The sequence below is a fragment of the Homo sapiens genome, chromosome 9 (genome assembly GCF_000001405.40).
Source record: "Homo sapiens chromosome 9, GRCh38.p14 Primary Assembly".
Taxonomy (NCBI): domain Eukaryota; kingdom Metazoa; phylum Chordata; class Mammalia; order Primates; family Hominidae; genus Homo; species Homo sapiens.
This window is the reverse complement of record NC_000009.12, coordinates 107,781,976-107,804,279: the sequence shown is the minus strand read 5'-3', so window position 1 is coordinate 107,804,279 and position 22,304 is coordinate 107,781,976. Positions and strand designations below refer to the sequence as shown.

General features: G+C 41.1%; 2 long non-coding RNA genes and 1 pseudogene across 5 annotated transcripts in view, besides 3 other annotated features; 2 read left to right on the top strand and 1 right to left on the bottom strand.

The window, feature by feature from the left end:
* The window catches only part of LOC105376208 (uncharacterized), a 78,157-nt gene that overhangs the window by 8,676 nt on the left and 47,177 nt on the right, over nt 1–22,304 (bottom strand). For all 3 annotated transcript variants that reach the window (XR_930229.2, XR_930228.2, XR_007061720.1), the window contains exon 3: nt 5,975–6,050. This is a non-coding gene — a long non-coding RNA (uncharacterized LOC105376208). The remainder of the gene's footprint in view (nt 1–5,974; nt 6,051–22,304) is intronic.
* The window catches only part of LOC105376209 (uncharacterized), a 38,984-nt gene continuing 21,087 nt past the window's right edge, over nt 4,408–22,304 (top strand). Inside the window, exons 1-3 of one of the 2 annotated variants that reach the window (XR_930231.3) lie at nt 4,408–4,487; nt 5,995–6,052; nt 10,428–10,505. This is a non-coding gene — a long non-coding RNA (uncharacterized LOC105376209). Of the gene's footprint in view, nt 4,488–5,994; nt 6,053–10,427; nt 10,506–22,304 lie in introns of those variants that run through there. The other variant, XR_930230.3, reaches the window with a different exon arrangement.
* RNU6-1064P (RNA, U6 small nuclear 1064, pseudogene) lies at nt 6,433–6,536 on the top strand (annotated as a pseudogene).
* Nucleotides 19,365–19,864: an enhancer, noted in NCBI's record as "500 bp enhancer 40 fragment used in low-throughput reporter constructs". NCBI's record gives its function as "activates both an SV40 promoter and a TATA-containing promoter in K562 cells {active_cell/tissue: K562}" and the evidence as "EXISTENCE:reporter gene assay evidence [ECO:0000049][PMID:23512712]".
* Nucleotides 19,542–19,686: an enhancer, noted in NCBI's record as "145 bp enhancer 40 fragment used in the MPRA reporter construct; PK_construct_4255". NCBI's record gives its function as "activates an SV40 promoter by MPRA in K562 cells {active_cell/tissue: K562}" and the evidence as "EXISTENCE:reporter gene assay evidence [ECO:0000049][PMID:23512712]".
* Nucleotides 19,606–19,623: a transcriptional cis regulatory region, noted in NCBI's record as "GATA motif; enhancer activity is lost when this motif is scrambled". NCBI's record gives its function as "necessary for full MPRA enhancer 40 activity {active_cell/tissue: K562}" and the evidence as "EXISTENCE:site-directed mutagenesis evidence [ECO:0005528][PMID:23512712]".

Sequence of the window (22,304 nt, the reverse complement as noted above, 5' to 3'; positions counted from 1 at the left end):
CAGCTCACTCACATAAGCCTCTCCAGAGGGCTCCCTCAGGACTGGGGAGTGAACAATCCAAGCAACAGAAAGAACACTCTACGAAGAAGCCACAATTTTTATAACCTAGTCTTGAAAATGACATCCCATCACTTCTGCTGTATCCTATTCATTAGAAGCAACTCTCTAAATTGAGCCCACACTTAAGAGGAAGAGATCACACAAGAGTGAGAGTAACAGGAGGTGGGGAATCATTGGGGGTCATCTCAGAGGCTGCCTACCATGATCTCCTAAGCAATCCTGCAAATTCAGTCTCATAACTTGCATTTGCAGATAGAACACTGAGGCTTAGTGAACCAAAGCAACTTAGCAGGTGATTAGGTCTGTAGGACTCTCCAGTTTACCTTTCACTGGTCCATGATATATCTTTGTCTCAATGCCTAGCATGGTGCAAATCATGTAACAGGCATTCTAAAAATCAGAGATCATGGATAGCCCACAGATCTTTGAGAGTGGACCTTCAGAGAGTGTTAAAATTTATTTAAGTTCAAGTCCCTTTAGAAGCCATATATCCTCTCCACAGTCTCCTTCACTCCTTATTGTCTTACCCGGGCATAATTCACCCAATTACACTGACTGTCTGGCCCCTGAAGTCATTTGAGTTTGGGTTCCTGCTATAAGTAATTGGTGACAGAAGTGAGGTTTGTCATTCTTCATCCCCTATCCATTCATTCAACCAGCAAATATTTCTTGAATGCTTACTATCAGCTAGGCAGTATGTTAGCCAACTGTGGGGAGAGACTAAACTATTCAATGCAAACAGGTCCATAATTCAGGAAACTTGGTGTGTATGGATCAGCATATGGATGCTTTTTACTTTCTTGTATGTTCAAAAATTTCTATAATATAAAGGTAAAATCAAAAGTGATCCATAAAATTTCTAAGCCATGTTGTGAAAGGAAGGGGTAAATACTGGGAAAATACCTTGTTGAATCCCACAATACTTCTTGAAGGAAGTTTTAATATTTCAGTTTACAGATGAAGAAACAAGTTGATTGAGGCTAGAAGGTTCTGGAGCTGAGATTCATAGCCACATCTGTTTGGATCAAAGCCAAGCATTTTCCCCCACTGAACCACACTGCTAAACACATACAAATGTTATCTCCGCATCTCAAATCTTAAGGCTGCACTGGATTCTGGAAACCAACGAGGTTGCTTTCATGACCACCTAACAAGTGACTCTCAGTCTTCACTGTCCCTTGCTTAACATTTCGCCCAGTTACCTGTGGTGTCTCCCCTATGTTAAGCACATAATGTATGCCAGGCACTGGGCCTTGATATCAATTCACCTTCACAAGCCTCCTCATTGGTATTTTTACCTCCCTTGTCCAGAGAGGAAAAGAGGCTCAGAGAGATGAAGTCATACATCAAGTCATATAGCTAGACAGGGTGGAATTCAGATTTGAATCAAGGGCAGCTGGATCACAAAATGATTGTTCTTTCTGTTAACAGGACTGTCATTTTAGAACCTATGAATAGGGAAAAAACAGAAAATACAAAACTCTAGGCTAGCCATGTGGTAGCTGATTCCTGCTGATTACCAATTAGACCCTCCCCAGATTGTTTGCCCTCTCCAGTCACAGACTTCACATCTACAAAAGAGAGACCTGGTTTCAATATCCCTTAAGGTGGGATTTTCAAACCATAAGTCAGACCCATCAAAAAGTAATCAGATCAATGGAGTCACCACAAACATTTTTTTATGAAACAAAAGGAACAAGGCTGGGCGTGGTGGCTGACACCTGTAATCCCAGAACTTTGGGAAGCCAAGGCGGGCGGATCATCTGAGGTCAAGAGATCGAGACCATCTTGGCCAACATGGTGAAACCCTGTCTTTACTAAAAATACAAAAAATAGCTGGGTGTGGTGGCATGTGCCTGTAGTCCCAACTACTCGGTAGGCTGAGGCAGGAGAATCGCTTGAACCCAGGAGGCAGAGGTTGCAGTGAGCCGAGATCGTACCATTGCACTCCAGTCTGGTGACAGAGTGAGACTCTGTCTCAGAAAAAAAAAAAAAAAAAAAAAGGAAGAAAAGAAAAACCATCATAGTAAAAATGAGTATTGAGTTTTTTTTATGACAAGTATACATACACACACGTGTGTACCTTTGTGTATGTGTGTATGTGCATTGGGTCATGCTGTAAGATCAAGTTCTCACTGTGGATTACTGTCAAGATTTTGAAAGTTACTGCATTAAGGAGGATTCTTTCAGCCTAGGGATTTACGTCTCACAATTGCAAATGCAAACCTAACAGTTTCCTGGAAACTCTATAGACCAACAGAAAGAGGAGGAAGATAGAATCAGACAGATAGATTTTAAGGGTTTTTTTGGTCTTTTGTTTAATGTTGCCCAGGCTAGTCTCAAACTTCTGACCTCAAGCAATCCTCCTGCTTCACCTCCCAAAGTGCTGCAACTACAGGTGTGAACCACCACACCCAACCAAGACTTGGATTTGGATCTGAACTCTTCTATTTATGACTGTATGCCCTCGAGCAAGTCATTCTACCTCACTGGGCCACAATTTTATTATCTGTAAAATGCAAATAATAATGCCCATCTTACAGGGTAATAATGAGGCTTAAATGAGAAAATATAATCACTTAGCAGAATTCCAGGAACATCATAATGCTCAAAATATGTTAATTATAATAATTGTTGATTTAAACATTTTTATTATGACCATTATAATTATTATTTTCAAATTGCATTGAAATTATTTATTTACATATCTCTTCCTAGACTAGACTCATAAAGAAATCCGAGGTAGTCTTTATCATTGTATATTAAAACCATATTGTATTCAATGCAAATTGATTATGTTGACAGTATCTCCAAAGTTAGAACTAGGAGCAGAAGCCTAAAAGACTATTCCACACGCCCCTCAACAAATTTATAAAAGGACTTTCATTCAGTTAAAAGCTCTTTGAGAAGAAAATGCACTGTCTTGAAAAGTAATAACAATGACTTAGCACTGCAAGGCATTTTATTATTATGAGGTGACATCACCCACATAATTTTATTTCAATCTAACAACCACATTGAAAGGGAAATACTGTTCTCAAGCCCCATTTTACAGCATGGAAACTGAAGCTCAAAAAAGTAAAATGATGTGCCTAAGCCATAGAACCAGAACTGTTGACTTTGAGCTATATGTTCTTTCTCTTGTACTGGCGATTGATAAATTTTAGGTCATATGTAAAATTAACCAGGAAACTGGTCAAAAACAAATTGCCAGTTCCCAATCCCAGAGATTAGATTTTGACTCAGTTCTTCTATTATGAAGAACAGGAATTTGCTTTTTTTTTTTTTTTTTTTCTAAGAGGGAGTCTTGCTCTGTCACCCAGGCTGGAGTCCAGTGGCGAGATCTTGGCTCACTGCAACATCCACCTCCCGGGTTCAAGCGATTCTCCTTCCTCAGCCTCCCGAGTAGCTGGGATTACAGGCACCTGCCACCACGACCGGCTAATTTTTGTATTTTTAGTAAAGATGGGGTTTCACCACGTTGACCAGGCTGTTCTCAAACTCCTGACCTCAAGTGATCTGCCCACCTCGGCATCCCAAAGTGCTGGGATTACAGGTGTGAGCCACCGCACCTGACCCGGAATTTGCTTTTCAACAAGCATCCACAAATGATTCTGATCTAGGTGATCAGAAAATGACTATTTCCCTCATCCAGCAATCTCTTAAAAACACAGGTTGAATGCCCCAATCTGAAAATCCAAAATCTGAAATGCTCAAAAATCCAAAATTTTCTGAGCACCAACATGAGATAGTGACACTTTTGCTTTCTGGTAGTTCAGTGTACACAAACTTTGTTTCATACACAAAATCATTATAATATCGTATAAATAATCATATAAATATTATCGTATAAATATAATAATCAATATCATATAAAATTACCTTAAGGCTATTTGCAGAAGGTGTACATGAAATATAAATGAATTTTGTGTTTCGATTTGTATTCCATCCACAAGATATCTCATTACATACATGCAGATATATCAAAATCTGAAAAAACCTGAAATTCAAAACATTTCTGATCCCAAGCATTTCAGATAAGGGATACTCAACCTGTACTCACAAACAAAGGTCTTATTTCTCTAGCCTAGTGATCCCATTTGTACACTTGCCAAAGGCTGTTCTCAGTTATAATGGGCACATAAGGACCCAGGATCTGGAATTCCCAGGCTTCGCTTTGCTAACAGTTTCATTTTGCCTTCTGACCAAGCTTTAGGCCCTACTGCTGACAGTGGTAAGAAAAATGTCTTTAAATCACCTGCCTGTCTGACCAGCAGTGCATGCCCTGAGGGTGGAGCCAGCCTGTATCTACACCACATCATAATGAAGGTGTTGTAGGGGTAAGAGCTCTGAAGCGCTTTGGGAGAGCTGAGATCCATCCCATGGAAACCATCCTCAACTTCTTCAGCCAGAGTTGGCACCCCCAGGTACGGCTCCTATAATCTTTTGTGTACAGCTAACATATTGTTAGTTTACAAGCCTGCCTCCTGGAAAACAAGGTGCAGGGAAGAGAGGGCAGAGGAATCATACCTTATTCATCTTATCTCTCCACCCCTATACTCAGCTCTAGTCACTCAGCAGATGCTGAGCGTGTGAGTCAATGAATCAATCACTGAATGCAGAGCAAACAATACCACAGCAGACTTACTTTTATAACAATGTTGAATAAAAGTTTTCTAGGCCGGGCGCGGTGGCTCATGCCTGTTATCCCAGCACTTTGGGAGGCCGAGGCAGGTGGATCATGAGGTTAGGAGACCGAGACCATCCTGGCTAACACAGTGAAACCCTGTCTCTACTAAAAATACAAAAAAATTAGCCTGGCGTGGTGGAAGGCGCCTGTAGTCCCAGCTATTCGGGAGGCTGAGGCAGGAGAATGGCCTGAACCCGGGAGGTGGAGCTTGCAGTGAGCCAAGATTGCGCCACTGCACTCCAGCCTGGGCGACAGAGCGATACTCCATCTCAAAAAAAAAAAAAGTTTTCTAGCTGCCTATGTCTCATTTTATTAAATTTGACCACCTCTAGAATTCAAAGGTGGTTTGTTTCTTTTTTTAACCGTGATGGAAACATTTTTAATTTTTCTTGGAATACATTAAAAACATAAAAAAGAGCACTTTTTTGAAGCAGAAATGATGAACAATAAACTCTGTGGTTTGTGAGACATGAAACACCATAACTGTTTTGAAAAGATAATTTTCCTGGAAACAATATATTTGGAAACTAATTTGCTATTTCAATGGCCAAAACTTGGCCCGCTAATCCCCAAGAGGAATATGGAATATGAGGCTTTGTGGTACAACCAACAACCAACATTTGACAGAGTGACTTTTCCAAGACAGATTCAGTGCACACAGTGCACAGTTCAATGTTCTGATGGTGTCTTCTCATTCACCCTCTTATGGCAGGAGTATCATTCCTATTTTACAGCTGTAATAACTTAGGTTCAAAAATCACACAGCTAATAAGAGTTAGAGCTGGAATGATACAATAGCTGTCCTCCCGTGATTGCTTTATTTCACTTGGCATAATGTCCTCCAGGTTTATCCATATTGGTGCATACGAAAAGATTGCTTTCTTTTTTTAATACTGAAAAATATTCCACTGTGTGGATTTACCACATTTTCTTTATCCATTCATTCATCAATGGACATTAAGTTTGTTTCCATATATTGGCTACTGTGAATGCTATGGTTTGAATGTCCCTGCCAAAATTCATGTTGAAATTTAATTGCTATTGTAACAGTATTGAAAGTCAGGACTTTTAAGAGACGATAAAGTCATGAGGTCTCTGCCCTCAGGCATGAATTAATACTGTTATCATGGGAGTGGGTTAGTTGTCAAAGAAGTAGGGTCCTGCTTAAAAAAAAAAAAAGATGAGTTCGGTTCACTTTTCTCTCTGTCTTATACATTCACTCACCATGTGATACTTCCTACCAGGGGATAACGCTCGCCAGATGCTGGTATCATGCTCTTGGAATTCCCAGTCTCCAGAACTGTAAGAAAGAAATTTATTTCCTTTATAAAATACCCAGTCTGTGGTATTTCGTTATAGCAGCAGAAAATAAACTAAGCCAATGAATAATGCTGCAATAAACATAGGAGGGCAAATATCTCTTTGAGATCCTGATTTCAAATCTTTTGGATATATAGCCAGAAGTGAGGTTGCAGGTACTATGGTAGTTTTATTTTTTTAATTTTTTGAGGAATCTCCATATTGTTTTCCATAATGGCTGCAACATTTTACATGCAAGATGAATAAGTTCTAGAGATCTGCTGTGCAACATAGTGCCTATAGTTTACTGTATTGTAAACTTAAACATTTTGTTTAAACATAAATCTCATGTTAAGTGCTCTTATCACAAAAACAGGGTTGGAATGCTCACTTCAGCAGCACATATACTAAAATAGGAATGATACAGAAATTAGCCTGGTCCCTGCCCAGGGAAGACATGCAAATTCATGAACCATTCCATATTTTCTAAAAAAAAAAAAAAAAAAAAAAAAAAAAAAAAAAAAAAAACAGCATAGGGGACACAAGAAGACTTTTGGAGGTGATTGATATGGTTCAGCTGTGTACCCACCCAAATCTCAACTTGAATTGTATCTCTCAGAATTCCCACGTGTTGTGGGAGGGACCCAGGGAAAGATAATTGAATCATGGGGGCCAGTCTTTCTCCTGCTATTCTCGTGATAGTTAAACAGTCTCACGAGATCTGATGGGTTTATCAGGGGTTTCCGCTTTTGCTTCTTCCTCATTTTCTCTTGCTGCCCCCATCTAAGAAGTGCCTTTCACCTACCGCCATGATTCTGAGGCCTCCCCAGCCATGTGGAACTGTAAGTCCAATTAAACCTCTTTTTCTTCCCAGTCTAGGGTAGGTCTTTATCAGCAGCATGAGAACGGATTAATACAGAGATGGTTGTTTATTACTTTGACTGTGGTGATGGTTTCATGGGTGGATGCACACATCTAAACCCATCAAATCTTATACATTAAATATGTACAGTTTTTTTAATAGATCAATTATACCTCAAAAAGACTTTTTTTAAAAAAAAAAAAGCCTAGTGGATGTTTCACAAAAATGTAAATATACTTAATATTACTGAACTGTGCACATAAAAATGGTAAAATTTATATCATGTGTTTTTCACCACCAAAAAAAAAAAAAGAGAGAGACGACAAAACAAAGAGAACAAGGTAGAGCTGGATTTCTAGGTCCTTTTGGTCTCAGCCCTATAGACTTCCTGTAACACTCAGGCTATTTGAAGTTCAGCAGCGTCATCATAAAGCGCTTTCAATTAACTCTACCCTAATACAGGGTGATATGGTTTGGCCGTGTCCCCATTCAAATCTCAACTTGAATTTTATCTCCCAGAATTCCAAGGGACCCAGGTGGAGGTAATTGAATCACGGAGGCTGGTCTTTCCCGTGCTATTCTCATGATAGTGAATAAGTCTCACAAGATCTGATTAGTTTATAAGGGGTTTCCGCTTTTGCTTCTTTCTCATTTTCTCTTACTGCCTCTATGTAAGAAGTGCGTTTACCTCCCGCCATGATTCTGAGGCCTCCCCCGCCATGTGGAACTGTAAGTCCAATTAAAGCTCTTTTTCTTTCCAGTCTCTGGTAGGTCTTTATCAGCGGTGTGAAAATGGACTAATATACAGGGCAATGAAAATCCAGGCAGAAAAAAAATGCCTCCTCTCTTCAGTGAACCCTCCTGACCCCTTCTCCAGTCTCCCCTGCCAGATCATTCAATCATAGTTTTGCTTTTTTGAGAAAAAATCTAAAAATGCCACATATTATAAACTGTATGAAACATGTGAAATTGACTGATGGCGATGTCTTCATTATCCTGAAGTCCTAAAGAATTATGGAGCATCAGTAAGATAAGGCTGTAACAAATAAACAAAATGTAGTTAAGAAATAAATTTTCATACAATAAAGTTTGGAATAAGTAGAAACTAAAATAAAGAATAAAGAAAAGTGCCTAATAATCTAATATGCAAAGACTGTGAAGTATTTGACTAACATTTACTTGAAGATACAGATACATATTTTACATATATAATCTATATAATATTATTTCAAATATATAAATATGAAATCAGAGTATGTAGCATGAAATAGTACATCTTTTTGTTTTCCACTAACATTTAAGCAGACACATTTTCTCATGTGTATTCTTCCATTTTCATACTGCTGTAAAAAACTGCCCAAGACTGGGTAATTTATAAAGGAAAGAGGTTTAATTGACTCACAGTTCAGCATGGCTGGGGAGACCTCAGGAAACTTACAATCATGGTGGAAGGCAAGGGAGAAACAAGGCACCTTCTTCACAAGGCAGCAAGAAGGAGAAGTGCTAAGCAAAGGGTAAAGAGGCCCTTATAAAACCATCAGATCTTGTGAGAACGCACTCACTATCACAAGAACAGCATGGGGGAAACCATGATCCAATTACCTCCACCTGATCTCTCCCTTGAAATGTGGGGATTATGGGAATTATGGGGACTATAATTCAAGATGAGATTTGGGTGGGGACACGAAACCTAACCATATCATCATGCGTTGACACAGTCTCCATGGGTTTTACTGGATGCATAATACTTTATCAAAGAAATATTTATTTAATTAATCTTTTTAAACTATATATTTAGGTTATAACTGGTTGTTCACTTCTCTCATGGCAATTCTGTCATGAGCAACTTTGAAAGTAAAGCTTTAATTAGAACATTGAGATACATCCCCAGAAATGGAGTATGAGTCTATTAGGTATGAATATCACACAAATTGCCAAATCCTTTCTGAAATGCTGCAATCGCTTCATCTGCAGTGCATTTTCCTTCACTGTCCTCAGGGCCAGCTTCATAGCAGTGCAACCTGGGCAGCCCCAGAGAACCCTCACTCAGAAGGGCCCCATGTTTGGTTTAATGCTTTGTTGGCACCATCTTGAAATTCTTAATAGTTTGAGCTTTGAATATGTGTTTTCTAAGCAAAATCTGATGGAACATGGGAACATACAGGTTACCAGAATAGATTCAGGCAATCTGTGTGCCCCCTGTTCCCTGCTGCCATATTCACATGGAGTGCCAACCACGCCTCGTGAGCACAAAATTCCAGCAGACCCACAGCATGTAGAAGTTCAGTGAGGTTCAAACAAGTATGAGGTAAGAGTGTTATTTCTAGAACTAGGTAAGCCAGGGGGTCGGGGGCTGGGGGCACTGGCCGTCCTAAGAGACCATACTTTTTATTGAAAGCAGAACTTAACTTCAAATGGCCAACAAGCCCTGTCATATGTTTTCTTGCTTGTGTTACTTTCCTGTTTCGGGCAATCATTTAGCCTGGTTTCCTTTTAGGCCATCTTTACTCATCAGTGAGCCAAAGGTAGACAGCATTGGTAGAATGTTCACATATCAAGAAGTGAATTTAAAACAATTGAGTTAGTTTTGTGCACCACTTATACTGTTCTAGTAAGAATGAAATGCATATGCATGTACAAGCTACAGAACATATAGTTCAAAGGTAATGCAAATACAAAATGTAATTTCAGTAATTCTGCACAGGAGATTGAATACTCTTTCTAAATGAATCCAATCAGTTTGAGGGAGCCAGAGCGGGATTTTACTAGCAGCAATCTTCCTTCTTCCTCTTCCATACCTCTTCTAACTGCCTTCTGGCTCAACAGCAGGCTGATAGCTTTTTTGCACAATCTAATCTGTGACAAACCACCAGGCCAGCTTCTCCAGATAGTGACAGATTAATAGCAATGTTGGTTTGAGGGCTAGTCTTTGGTAAAAGGCAACTAGGCTAACATTTCTTTATTGCTATGTGCTCTATGACTCTTAGGTTCTTTATTTACTTGCTTGCTGGTAAATTTTTACTGCCTTGTTCTGCCAAATATTGTTCGCCTTTGGATTAAGGCCTCATTTCTGAAATACAACTTTTGAACTTTGGACTGCAGTAAAATCACTATTGCTATTATGAGTTGACTCTTTATAAAATTACAAAGTTTTTCAGGATAGAAGTTTGGAGAACAGTAAAAAAAAAAAAATTACAAAGTTTTCCTTCTAAGGACATTATTATAGCAAGAGATTATCTGGTAGACAGTGTGCAAAATCTTCTTAGGCTGATAACCCACAGCCTGGAGAAGAACCAACCTAACCTCTACGGCAGAGGGTGAAAGTTAGAATCAACTGAGAAGCTTTAAAAAGCAAGAATGCCTGAGTCTAACTCTCCAACATTTTGACTTAATTGGTCCTGGGTGCATGCTGGGCACTGAGAATTTTACAAACTTTGCAGGTGTTTCTTTATGCAGCTACAGTTTTGAAGCTGCTTAGAGCCACTGCTCTAATATCTCATCTGTTTAAATTCACAGGAGAAAATACACACAACTAGGTCAGGCAGAATGTCCGCTTCTATATCATCAGGATTCAGCCAATAATTCTGGAGCCCCTACTGGCTGACTAATACTAGGCCCTTTGGGAATTGCAAAGATGAATAAGGTAACTCCTCTGTCTCAAGAAGCTTTCAAGAGATTGGGCAAGTGATGATCAGCAAGCTAGTCTGAGAGAAGAGAGAGTATCTAGAACAAGATATACCCATGAGCCAATAGGAGACTCTACCTGTGCATTGCCTTTGGAAGGGAACTTCTGGGGTCTCTTTACAGAGGAAGTGTTGGGTCAGATACTTGTGCATTAGGAAGAAGAGCAAAAAAAATGGCACTCACATCTGGAGATTTTGTCCAAATCCATCCCAAAGCTTCACCACTAATAAAGGCAAAATAAACTTCACCACTAATAAAGGCAAAACAGAAAATGTTTGACTCAACTTATTTTTTTTTTTTTGAGACGGAGTCTTTCTCTGTCACCAGGCTGGAGTGCAGTGGTGCGATCTCAGCTCACTGCAACCTCCACCTCCCAGGTTCAAGCAATTCCTCTGCCTCTGTCTCCCAAGTAGCTGGGACTACAGGCATGTGCCACCACGCCCGGCTAATTTTTTGTATTTTAGTAGAGACGGGGTTTCACCATGTTGGCCAGGATTGTCTCAATCTTCTGACCTCGTGATCCGCCTGCCTCGACCTCCAAAAGTGCTGGGATTACAGGCATGAGCCACTGCTCCCGGCAGACTCAACTTTTTAATAGTAATGTACTTTTCAACAGCTACACAATCATTGACTATCAGTGCATACTAAATAAGGAAAGAATGATGAGGGGATGAAGATTAGAAATCACTCTTTCCCCAGCAGGTTAAATGAACAACAACAAAATCTGTATCTTTGTCTAGATGTGATGGCTAATCTCATGAGTCAACTTAACTGGACCATGGGGTACTCAGATCTTTGGTTAAACATTATTCTGTGCTTATCTGTGAGGGATTTTCTAGATAAGACTAACATTTGAATTAGTAGACTAAGTAAAGCAGATTGCCCTTAGGCCTCATCCAACCTGTCAAAGCCCTGAATTGAACAGAACAAAATTTGCCTGATTGTCTTCAAGCTGGAACACAGGACTTCTGCCTTCAGACTCAGACTTGGACTGGAACTTATACCATCAGCTCTCCTCGGTCTCAGACCTCTGGACTCAGACTGCACTATACCATCAGCTCTCTCTATAGAACTCAGACTAATACACTATCACAAAAAAAGTTTCCATGCACATTCACGTTTAATTCTCATAACAATCCTCAGTCAAGGGATTGGTGATATAATATGTGTCTTAGCTGGCTCAGGGTGCCATAACAAAATGTTTTAGCCTGGGTGACTTCAACAACAGAAAGTTGTTTCTCATAGCTCTGGAGGCTGGGAAGTCCAAGATCAAGGTGCCAGCCAATTTGGTTTCAGGTGAGAGCCCTCTTCCTGGTTTGTACATGGCTTCGTTTGTCTATACCTAAGTACCTCCTAAAGGCCCTATCTCCAAATACCATCACATTGAGGGTCAGGACTTCAACATATGAATTTGGGAGGACACAAAAATTCAGTCTATAACAGTATGTTTCCCATTTTACAGATGGGAACACTAAAGCCTGAAAAAGTGAAGTAACTTGCCAAAAGCCACCAATCTTATGAATGCAAGAGCTAGAACGTGAGCCAATCTCTCTCTCACATACACCATTCTTTCTACTACAGCCATGCTTTTTATGTTAGCTATTCTAACACATAGCAAGATACTCATCTTTAGAGATAACCAGTAAAGGTCTGAAAAGCTACCAGCCTCGCTAGTTATCTGGAAAGTGCTAATTAAAATGACAGCAAAATTCTATTTTTCACTCATTAGATGGGTAAAAATTAAAAGACTAATACTATCCCAGTGTCAGGAAGGGAGAGGTGAAAGGAATGCTCCTAAATACTTCTTGTAGGATCACATATCAGCAGACTGTGTGGAGGGCAATTTGGCAGTATCTATAAAAATTTTAAATGTGTATTCTCTTTGACCAAGTAGTTTTAGTTCTTAATACCTACCCAAGGGAAATAGTTTCACATGGGTATGAAAAACATCGACTGCGTTTTCTGGTAACAGCGAAATATTAGAAGCACCATAATACCCATTCCTAGGGAATGGGTAAAAGGATCATGGTGCATCCAAACTATGGCATCCTTGAAACCTTCCAAAAGAATGTGGCTGATTTGTATATTCTGACATAGAATGTTTTACTTAGTAGAACAAAACATGTGGTATGTATAGCATAATGTTACTTAATTGATAAAAAAGCATTGTATGTCTATATGTATATAATTTTATACAAAAATTCAGGGACACATACATATCAAACTGCTAATAATTACTGGTAATCATTCTGGGATTGGAACAAAGGGAAAACAAAGAGAGCTTTTGCATTGATGGCACATTGTCTGAAATTCATAGTGAGAATGTGCTCATTATTGTTCATATCATTATAATAAATAAGTAGATACATAAACAATAAAAGCATGGAAATAAAGGTGCTTTTCTTTACACCATTTATTTTACTTCTCTCACTATAATGCTATGGGGTAGACAGATTCCACATCCTAAATGAGAAACCAGAGAGTCTGAGAGGAGAGGGGACTTGTGAGATGAGCCAGGAGGGGTTAGTGATAAAGCTGGGACCAGAACCCAGGTCTTTGTGTTCCAGTTCCTGTGCTCCATGGATGGCACCTTCCTGCGTCATTTAACTTCCACAGTCTTCATGCCATTTTGCCTCTTATGGAAGGAAGGCATCAACCCATTCTTTCAAGGGAAACTTCAACTCTTAAAGAGTTAGATTTGAAAGCTTTTCTTCTCCCTCTTCTGTTTTTTAAACCAGTCTGGATCCAGGGGCCAGCATCCTCCTAATCTCTACTTGAAACCTGCAGGTTCACTGTTGCAAAAGACTTCTCTGATGTTCCGTCCAATTTCTATCCAAATAAATCTCATTTTGCTGATGTCTATAAAGTCTGACTTTATAGCAGAGAGCTCTCCTAGAACTCTGTCTTTAATAAAAGGGGAAAGAAGTGGAACTACTAATTTAGTTTCTTTAAAAGGCATGTATTTTCATGCACATTAAGTCCATCTGTTGGTGAAATGATGCCTTTGCACAGTGTATAATTTGATAAAACCCAAAAGAACTCAGAGCTCCTAGCTTGAAGCAGAAATAGAGAAAGTGGCTGGGAACCTGACTAAAGTGGAGAAATCCACCAAACACTATTTTTAGAATTAAAAACTGATTTAAAAAATTATCCGTCATGGAGAAAGATTCACGTTCTCAGTGTAAGCACCTCTCAGCACATTCGAACCACTTCAGAAACGGAGATCAAAGGCCCTTGGTCTCTGCAGCTCATCCACTGGGGATATCTTTTTCATGGCACTATGCAATATCTGACCATCTCTCTGTCTTCACACTGTCCAGTGGGTCCCTACTGGCTACAGAGAGCTTACAAATTGGCAGCCACATGTTTGTTTGCCAGTATGAAGTATTTTTAAATGTTAAATATTGACAACATTTAAAACTTGGCAGCCCACTTAAAATTCTGATTTCTGATTTCTCAAAAAATCAGAAGATATGGCCATTCCAGGTCCAAATTCTTGCAGAGCATTAATGTGCTGATGCTGAGTAGCAGAAGTATAAAAGAGACATAACTTACTTCCTACTATGCCACAATTCCACCTCCACTGCCTGGCCCCTACAATACTTGAAGTTGCAACACCTGGTCTTAAGGATTAAACTCTAAACTTCACAAAAGGATATCCAAGGTTCTTCACTATTGGCTACTGGTCAGCTTCTACATCTTCAGCCTCTCTCACTTCCCTATTTACTTAATCAATAAACCTTCCTTGATCCCTAGCATGTACCAAGCAGTGTGCTAAATGGATATGGAGATGAATAAAATGCATGCCTCAGTTAGGGCCCCAGCAGATGGCACATACAAATTAAGACAATTTGAGCAGGGTTGGTTGAATGGTAGGAGAACCACAAACATAGTGCAGTACTTTGAGCCTAGAAATTTTGGGACTTTTGTATCTCTAGACCTGAAGAGGGACTTCTCCTACCTGGAGAGAAACTACAACCTTCTGTTGGGAATGCAGTCAACTCAAGATAACCCTGCAGACCAGGCACTTTGGGAAAGATCACCTGCTTTCACTCTCATCTCTACCTCTGGTTTTCTGAGAAGGCTTCTTCTTTGGCCAAAGTCAGAAGCAAAGGAAGGGCGTGCCTCTTGATGCAGTCCAGAGAGGTCAGCTTCATAGACAGAGAGCAGGACAGAGATAGGACAGAGTGGGTCCAAGGTACAAAGCGATGACACTGAGCCAACCCTGCTCTGCCTTTCAAGGAACTCACAGCCTAATGAGGAGACAGGTGGGTCATCAGACAAGGCCAGCATGGTGGGGGCAGTGCTGTGTTAACTAGAATCATAGCAGGCTATAGAAACTCTGGTAACTACCCAGACAGAGGCAACTAACTCAAGACAGCTGAAAGCTCCAGGAAATGGTGAACTCAAAGCTGCTCTAGAAATGACTGAAGAACAAGGAGTTAGAGGTGAGGAGGGAAAGGCGGGTCATCCCAGAAGAGAGAGCATCCCATTGCTCAGGCTTCATGGGCACCATATGCCCAACCCACTGAGTCATTCTGTTCCCCAGATGTTTCTCGCCCTTTTGAACTATATGCCTGTGCACAGACACTGCCCTCTGCTGCAATAGCTTCCCCCTACCCTTTTTGGAAAGTTAAATTCAGTTCAAATTCACCTCTCCAAGCAATTTCACTCCTGTATCTACCCAATAGAAATGTGGTCACACATGCACAAAAAGACACACATTAGAATGTTCACAACAGCATTATGCATGGTAACCAAATGCCTATCAACAGTAGAATAGATCAATGAATTCTTAGGATAGAATACTACCCAGCGGTGAGAATGTACAATCTAAAATTCCATGTAAAAATATGAATAAATACCACAAACATAATGTTGAATTCATTAGTCCATTTTCACACTGCTGATAAAGACATACCCAAGACGGGGAAGAAAAAGAAGTTTAATTGGACTTACAGTTCCACATGGCTGGGAAGGCCTCAGAATCATGGTGGGAGGTGAAAGACACTTCTTACATGGCAGCAGCAAGAGAAAATGAGGAAGATACAAAATTGGAAACCCCTGATAAATCCATCAGATCTCATGAAACTTATTCACTACCATGCGAACAGTATGGGGGAACCATCCCCATGATTCAAATGATCTCCCACTGGACCCCTCCCACAACACGTGGGAATTATGGGAGTACAATTCAAGATGAGATTTGGGTGACAACACAGCCAAACCATATCATGAGTGAAAGAAGTCAGACAGCTTTAACTGATGTACACTTCATAAGGTTTCATTTATAAAAAGGTCAAAATCAGGCAACATCAATCTATAGTGTTTGTATTAGGCTGTTCTTACATTGCTATAAAGAAATACCTGAGGCTGGATACTTTATAGAGAAAAGAGTTTTTAAGCAGCTCATGGTTCTGCAAGCTGTACAAGCATGGCACCACCATCTGCTTGGCTTCTGGTGAGAGTCTCAGGGAGCTTACAATCATGGCAGAAGTGGGAGCAGTCGGTGTCAAATGGTGCAAGTGGGAGCAACAGGTCAGGGGGAAGGTGCCACTCTCTTTTAAACTACCAGATCTCATATGAACTCAGAGTAAGAACTCCCTTATCACCAAGGAGATGGTGCTAAACCACTTATGAGGGATCTGCTCCCATGATCTGAACACCTGCCACCCGGCCCCGCCTCCAACATCGGGGATCACATTTCGACATAAGATTTGGAGGGGACAAACATCCAAACCATCTTGGTGTTAGAAGTCAGGATGGTAGTAATCCCTTAGAGGAGTGGTAGGTACTGGAAGGTAGCGCGATATGGGGGGTTCTGTGTTGCTAGTAATGTCCTATTTTAGTATCTGGGGGCTGGTTGAATGAGTTCATAAAAATTCATCAAGCTGTGCACCTATGATATAATTTTCTGTTTGTTATATTTATTTATTTATTAGTTTAAGTCACCTTCTCAGGGAAGATTTCACAGGTTGTTGAATAACAAGGGCTTCCTGTCCAAAGAGCTCAGAAAACTCTTCTGTAGAACTCATCAAGACATTTGAAAACCACTGAGAAAAGAGCAAGGTCTCAGGAGCCCCACACCTGCCTGGATTTCCCTGGCAATCCTGAACAAGTCCTGTCTACTCTCCACCTGTTCCTTTAATGATGCAGTGGAGCAGATGTACTTCCATTTCTTTTCAGTAATCAGGAGTTTTGTAGACATCAGAGATCAATGGATCATTCATCATTTTCTGAATTTCCTTGCCAACGTGGACAGTCTCTGCTCAGAAAACAACCTTGAAGGCCGGGCACAGGGGCTCACAAGGTCAGGAGACCAAGGCAGGTGGATCACAAGGTCAGGAGATTGAGACCATCCTGGATAACATGGTGAAACCCTGTCTCTACTGAAAAAACAAAAAATTAGCCGGGAGTGGTGGCTCATGCCTATAGTCTCAGCTACTCAGGAGGCTGAGGCAGGAGGATTGCTTGAACCTGGGAGGTGGAGGCTGCAGTGAGCCAAGGTCGCACCACTGTACTCCAGCCTGGGCAACAGAGCGAGACTCCATCTTACCAAAAAAAAAAAAAAAAAAAAAAAAGAAAAGGAAAAGAAAGAAAACAACCTTGAAATAAGCTGGACCCAGGGGCTTGTGCCTGTATTCCCAGCTGCTCAGGAGGCTAAGGTCGGAGGATTGCTTGAGCCCAGAGGTTTGTTGAGATTAGCCTGGGCAGCATAGTAAAACCACATCTCTATAAAATAAATGAATAAATACATATATTTTAAATAACAACCTGAAATGGCTGCAACTCTCAGCTGAGTGGCTCCCAACTTTGTCATCGTGGAGGGACCCTGCTGTGACTTCTTTCCTTTGAGCCATACACACTGCAAAAGGATGCAACCAATAACAACAACAAAGATGTTTATTGCGTAATGATCCATTTGTTTTAATTGAGACAATTATATTAATGCCAACCTAACCTTGTGACCAGCATGAGATAACCAATGTTTCTCCACTGGGTTGTGTAATTCCTGCTCAAAGCACAGTAATAAGATAGTTTAGTTCATCTGGGAATATCCATAATAGGGGTTCAATGTAAGATTGCCATCCTTAATTTTATGATACAGAAATTGACTCAGGAGACCTCATTTATATTTCTCAAACTCCTCAAGGTGGCATTCCTAGCTTAGAACCACAGTAACAGCTACTCATCCCACATACCAAAGAGACTTTGGATTTTGTCTTCAGATATTTCATGGTACTACTTTCCTGACTTCTTTTCAATGATGATCTCAGAGTGATAAGGCCTTTGTGATGCTACGTAAGCCAAGTGAAATGAAATATGATTACTTTAATCATACCAATTGTCTTACTCTGTTTGGGCTGCTAACAAAAATCCCATAGATGGGGTTATCAACAACAGAAATTTATTTCTCATAGTTCTGGAAGATGGGAAGTCCAAGATCCGTGTCTGGTGAGGGCCTGCTTCCTGGTTCATAGATAGAGCCTAGCTCTCTGCGACTTCTTTTTTATGGGGACAAATACTGTTCATGGGGGCTCCGTCCTATGACCTAATCACTTCCTAAAGGTCTTATTTCCTAATGCCATCCCTTTGGGGGTAGAATTTTAACATATACATTTGGGGGGCAAGGGAGGACGCAAACATTCAGATCATAGCACCAATATTGGCTTGCATGTGCTGTTGTTGTCCTAGGCAATTTACATGGGTTAATGCAGGCTGTGGAGTCAGATGGTGTGGGTTCAAATCCCACCTCTGATTCTTACTGTAGCATGAGACTTAACAGTTATTGAGTTCTTTGGATGATCCAATGTATATAATCCATGAAAGAATATGACATATGGTTTGGCACATAGATATATTTAAAATAGTCAGCTTCTAATAGTAATTCTACTTTCTTTTTCTTTTCTTTTCTTTTCTTTTCTTTTTTTTTTTTTTTTTTTTGTGGCAGGGTCTCATTCTGTCGCCCAGGCTGAATTGCAGTGTTGCAATCTTGGCTTACTGCAACCTCCACCTCCCAGGTTCAACAGATTCTTCTCCCTCTGCCTCCCCAGGGGCTGAGACTACATGTGTGCACCACCATGCCTGGCTAATTTTTTATATTTTTGGTAGAGACAGGGTTTCACCATGTTGGCCAGGCTGGCTGGTCTCAAACTCCTGACCTCAAGTGATCCACCCACTCAGCCTCCCAAAGTGCTGGGATTACAGGAGTGAACCACTGTGGCCAGCCATAATTCCACTTTCTTCACAACATTCCTTTTAAGAAAGTATCATGATCCCCATTTTATAAAGGAGAAACTGAGGCTCAGAGACTTGCCCAAGATCACACAACAATTGAATGGCAGATCCAGAACTTTTAACCCTAGTTCTTGTTGATGCCAAAGCCTGACCTATTTCCATGAGTCAGTCCTTCAACCTGGCAGATGTGGGGGCTGAATACCCTCAATAAGTGCTTCAATTCTCTTATAAATATTATTTTTGAGAAAAAATAACATTTTAATTATTTTAAAGAATAAAAAATAAATTCTTAGATAGGCCTTTTGCCCTTGTCATCATTTTTTTCCAAGCTCATTTTTTTATGGACCCATTCAACGTTGTCAGTCCTAATTTTGTGACTGTTGCCAATCTTATATCGGGCTTTCATTAGCCAAAGAGAGCCCTGGCCAAGCTGTGTGACTGTGGGCACCTCCTTCCCTCTCAAAGAGACCTCAGTTTCTTCTTCTGCAGAACGGGGGAATGGATGGAGGCTCTCCCAGCTCCTGCAGCCTGACCTGGAAGCTTTTCTCCTGACATCACTCCAGGGCCTTTACCCTTGTGAGCAGCTCAAACGTTTGACTCCTGCCCTGGCTTCCTGAACTATGTCAGAGGGGAAAGGAAAAAAAGACAGAGAGAATCGAACATCTGTTTTCACACCAGGGCTAGGAACTCATTCCTAAAACATTTCTCATACTTGACCAGAAGGGCATTTCGTCACGAGGAACAGGATTCGTCCCTCACTCTCTGGCTGCCTCTGCACTCTGCTGATAAGACAGTAACAAATGTGCTGATGTGCATTTCCAGGAATCGAAGCTTCTCCCTGACCAGGGCCAGCCCTGCTGTGTTCAGAAGCAGGTGCGAGCACCCAGTGCCCAAAAGCCCTTCCCTTCCCAGGCGAGCTGGCCAAGACCCTGTCCTTGGGGCTCTCTTCCTCCTGCTCAGCACCTCTTTCAGGCCCTGTAGACAGGGATTGGTTGGTTGTGCAGTCACCAATCGCACCTCCTTCTTCCTGACTTCCTGGTTCAGATGTGGGAGAAAGCCCGCCCCCCACCCCACTGCCTGGTTCAGCCATGGGAGGAGCTAAACAAACCCTCAGTCCTACCAATCAACGGCTCAGGGCTTTGCCACCCACTCCAGTAGGACCTTGAACAGGTCTCAATGTCTCTGGGCCTCCATGCTAGCTAATCTTCAAAGAACACTGTTTACCAGGCAGTATTCTAGTTACTTTTGATAGGAATCAATTCCTATTTAATCCTCTCAACAACCTTACATCCCATGTGATTAGTTTTTGGGGTTTGTTTGTTTGTTTGTTTTGTTTTTTTGAGACTGTGGAATCTCACTCTGTCACCAGGCTGGAGTGCAGTGGCGCAATCTCGGCTCACTGCAACCTCCGCCTCCCAGGTTCAAGAGACTCTCCCACCTCAACCACCCGAGCACCTGGGATTACAGGCACCTGCCACCACTCCTGGCTAATTTTTTTATATTTTTAGTAGGGATGGGGTTTCACCATGTTGTCCAGGCTGGTCTCGAACTCCTGACCTCAGGTGATCCGCCCACTTCGGCTTCCTAAAGTGCTGGTGAAATTACAGGCATGAGCCACCGTGCCCAGACCCCCACATGATTAGTTTTATTGTTACCCTGTTTTGCAGATGAGGACATAAGCCACAAAGAGCTTATGTAGTTCACCTAAGAACACACACATCCCAGATTTGAACCCGGGCCTTTGGACACTAGGCGTGCTCACGCGCTGTCAGCAGTCCTTGAACATTTGGGTCTTAGGATCCCTTCACAGTCTTTAAAAGTATTGAGGATCCCAAAGAACTTTTGTTTCTGTGGGTTATATCAATCACCATATTAGAAATTAAAACTGTGAAATTTTTAAAGCTCAAGAATACACAAGCACACGTTCCATTTGTTGTCCGAGTACAACATCATCTCACATCAAACAGCCTCCAGAAAATGCCACTCCAAGCTCATGAGAGAATGGGAGTGAAAAAAGCAAATGACATCTTAGTATTGTCACAAAAATAGCTTTGACCTCAAGGACCCCCTGAAAGATTGTTGGGGACTCCTGGGGTCCCCAGACCACACTTTGAAACGTATGCACTACACAACCTCCATGACCTTGCTATGGCGTGTGCCTTGGAGTAACTCCTCTACCTTTCTCACAAGGTATTAATTCAGTCAGTAAATACTAATTGACCACCGACTACATCTCAGGCACAATGCTAGGCACTAGGATGCAGCGGCAATCAACAAATACGTCCCGGCTGCTGTGACACTTCCAGGAAAGTGGAGGAGTCAGATATTAAGCCAAAATAATCACTCCAATTAGTAATTTAAATCTATTAAGATTATTAGAAAAGAGCAGGACACTAGGGGACCATAACTTAAAGACATGACTCTGTTTGAGCAATCAGGAAAAACTTTCTTGAGGAAGTGGCTTATCTCACTGAGGTTTTGCAAACCATAATTGCGCTTTGCAAGAAGAAACTGCTGATGGTCTCCTTCTAATGAGGGTCTGAGATCTGTCATAACCTCCTTTCTTACAGCATTTTCTGTTCTTAAAACTACCCCAGGTAAATCCTTTCAGTCCAAAGACTCTCAACTGGGGACCCTTAGTTATTTTCAACTCATGATCCTTTCCCTCCCATCATTCAGTCCCAACACAGCTGCTCCCAGTGCATATATACAGTGGTAGAAATCGGTGGAAAGGAAGGGAAGAGGCAACGTGGGGGAATGAAAAGACTCTGGCTTTGGCTTGAGTCCTGGTCTCCATCCCTCTCCTTCCTATTCATGGGACCCTGGCCAAGCTGCTGTTCTAGATTCTCAGCATCCTCAGCTGGACTCATGAAGAGCATAGCATCTTCCTCATGTGGTTAGGATGACTAGTAAGTGGGTTGGCATGTATGAAAACACCCTGCAAATGTAAGATACATAAGGAAATGCACAAATATAAAGTGCAGTGCCAGTACAGCAATAATGACAATATTGAATTAGAATCGGACAGTGAGACATACTGGATGAAACAGCTTTATCTGTGTTGTTCTCAGTTACATGTTGAAATCCATGCTTAAAAATAGGTCATGTCAAAGAACAGCTATAATTGAAAATACATGTTCTTTGAAGGAGGCATGGGTTTTTGTTTTTGTTTTTGTTTTTTGTTTTTTGTATTTTTTTTTTGGTCTGTTTTCTGAATGCAGAACCAGAAACGCAAAAAAACAGCTATAATTTTTCCAAGACAAAAGACTTAGTAATTCAGAGCTTTGCTTTATTCATGTTGTTTATCATTCAAAACCAAACCTTCTTGCAAGATCCACTGGGGTGTTTGGTAAAAGGCACATGGAGCTGGGAGTCAGAAGCGCCGGATTCTCATCCCAGCCCAGCCACTGATTCACTCATTGCTTTTGAACAAGTTTCCTCTCTTGTGTGGGCCCCAGTTTTCACATCTAT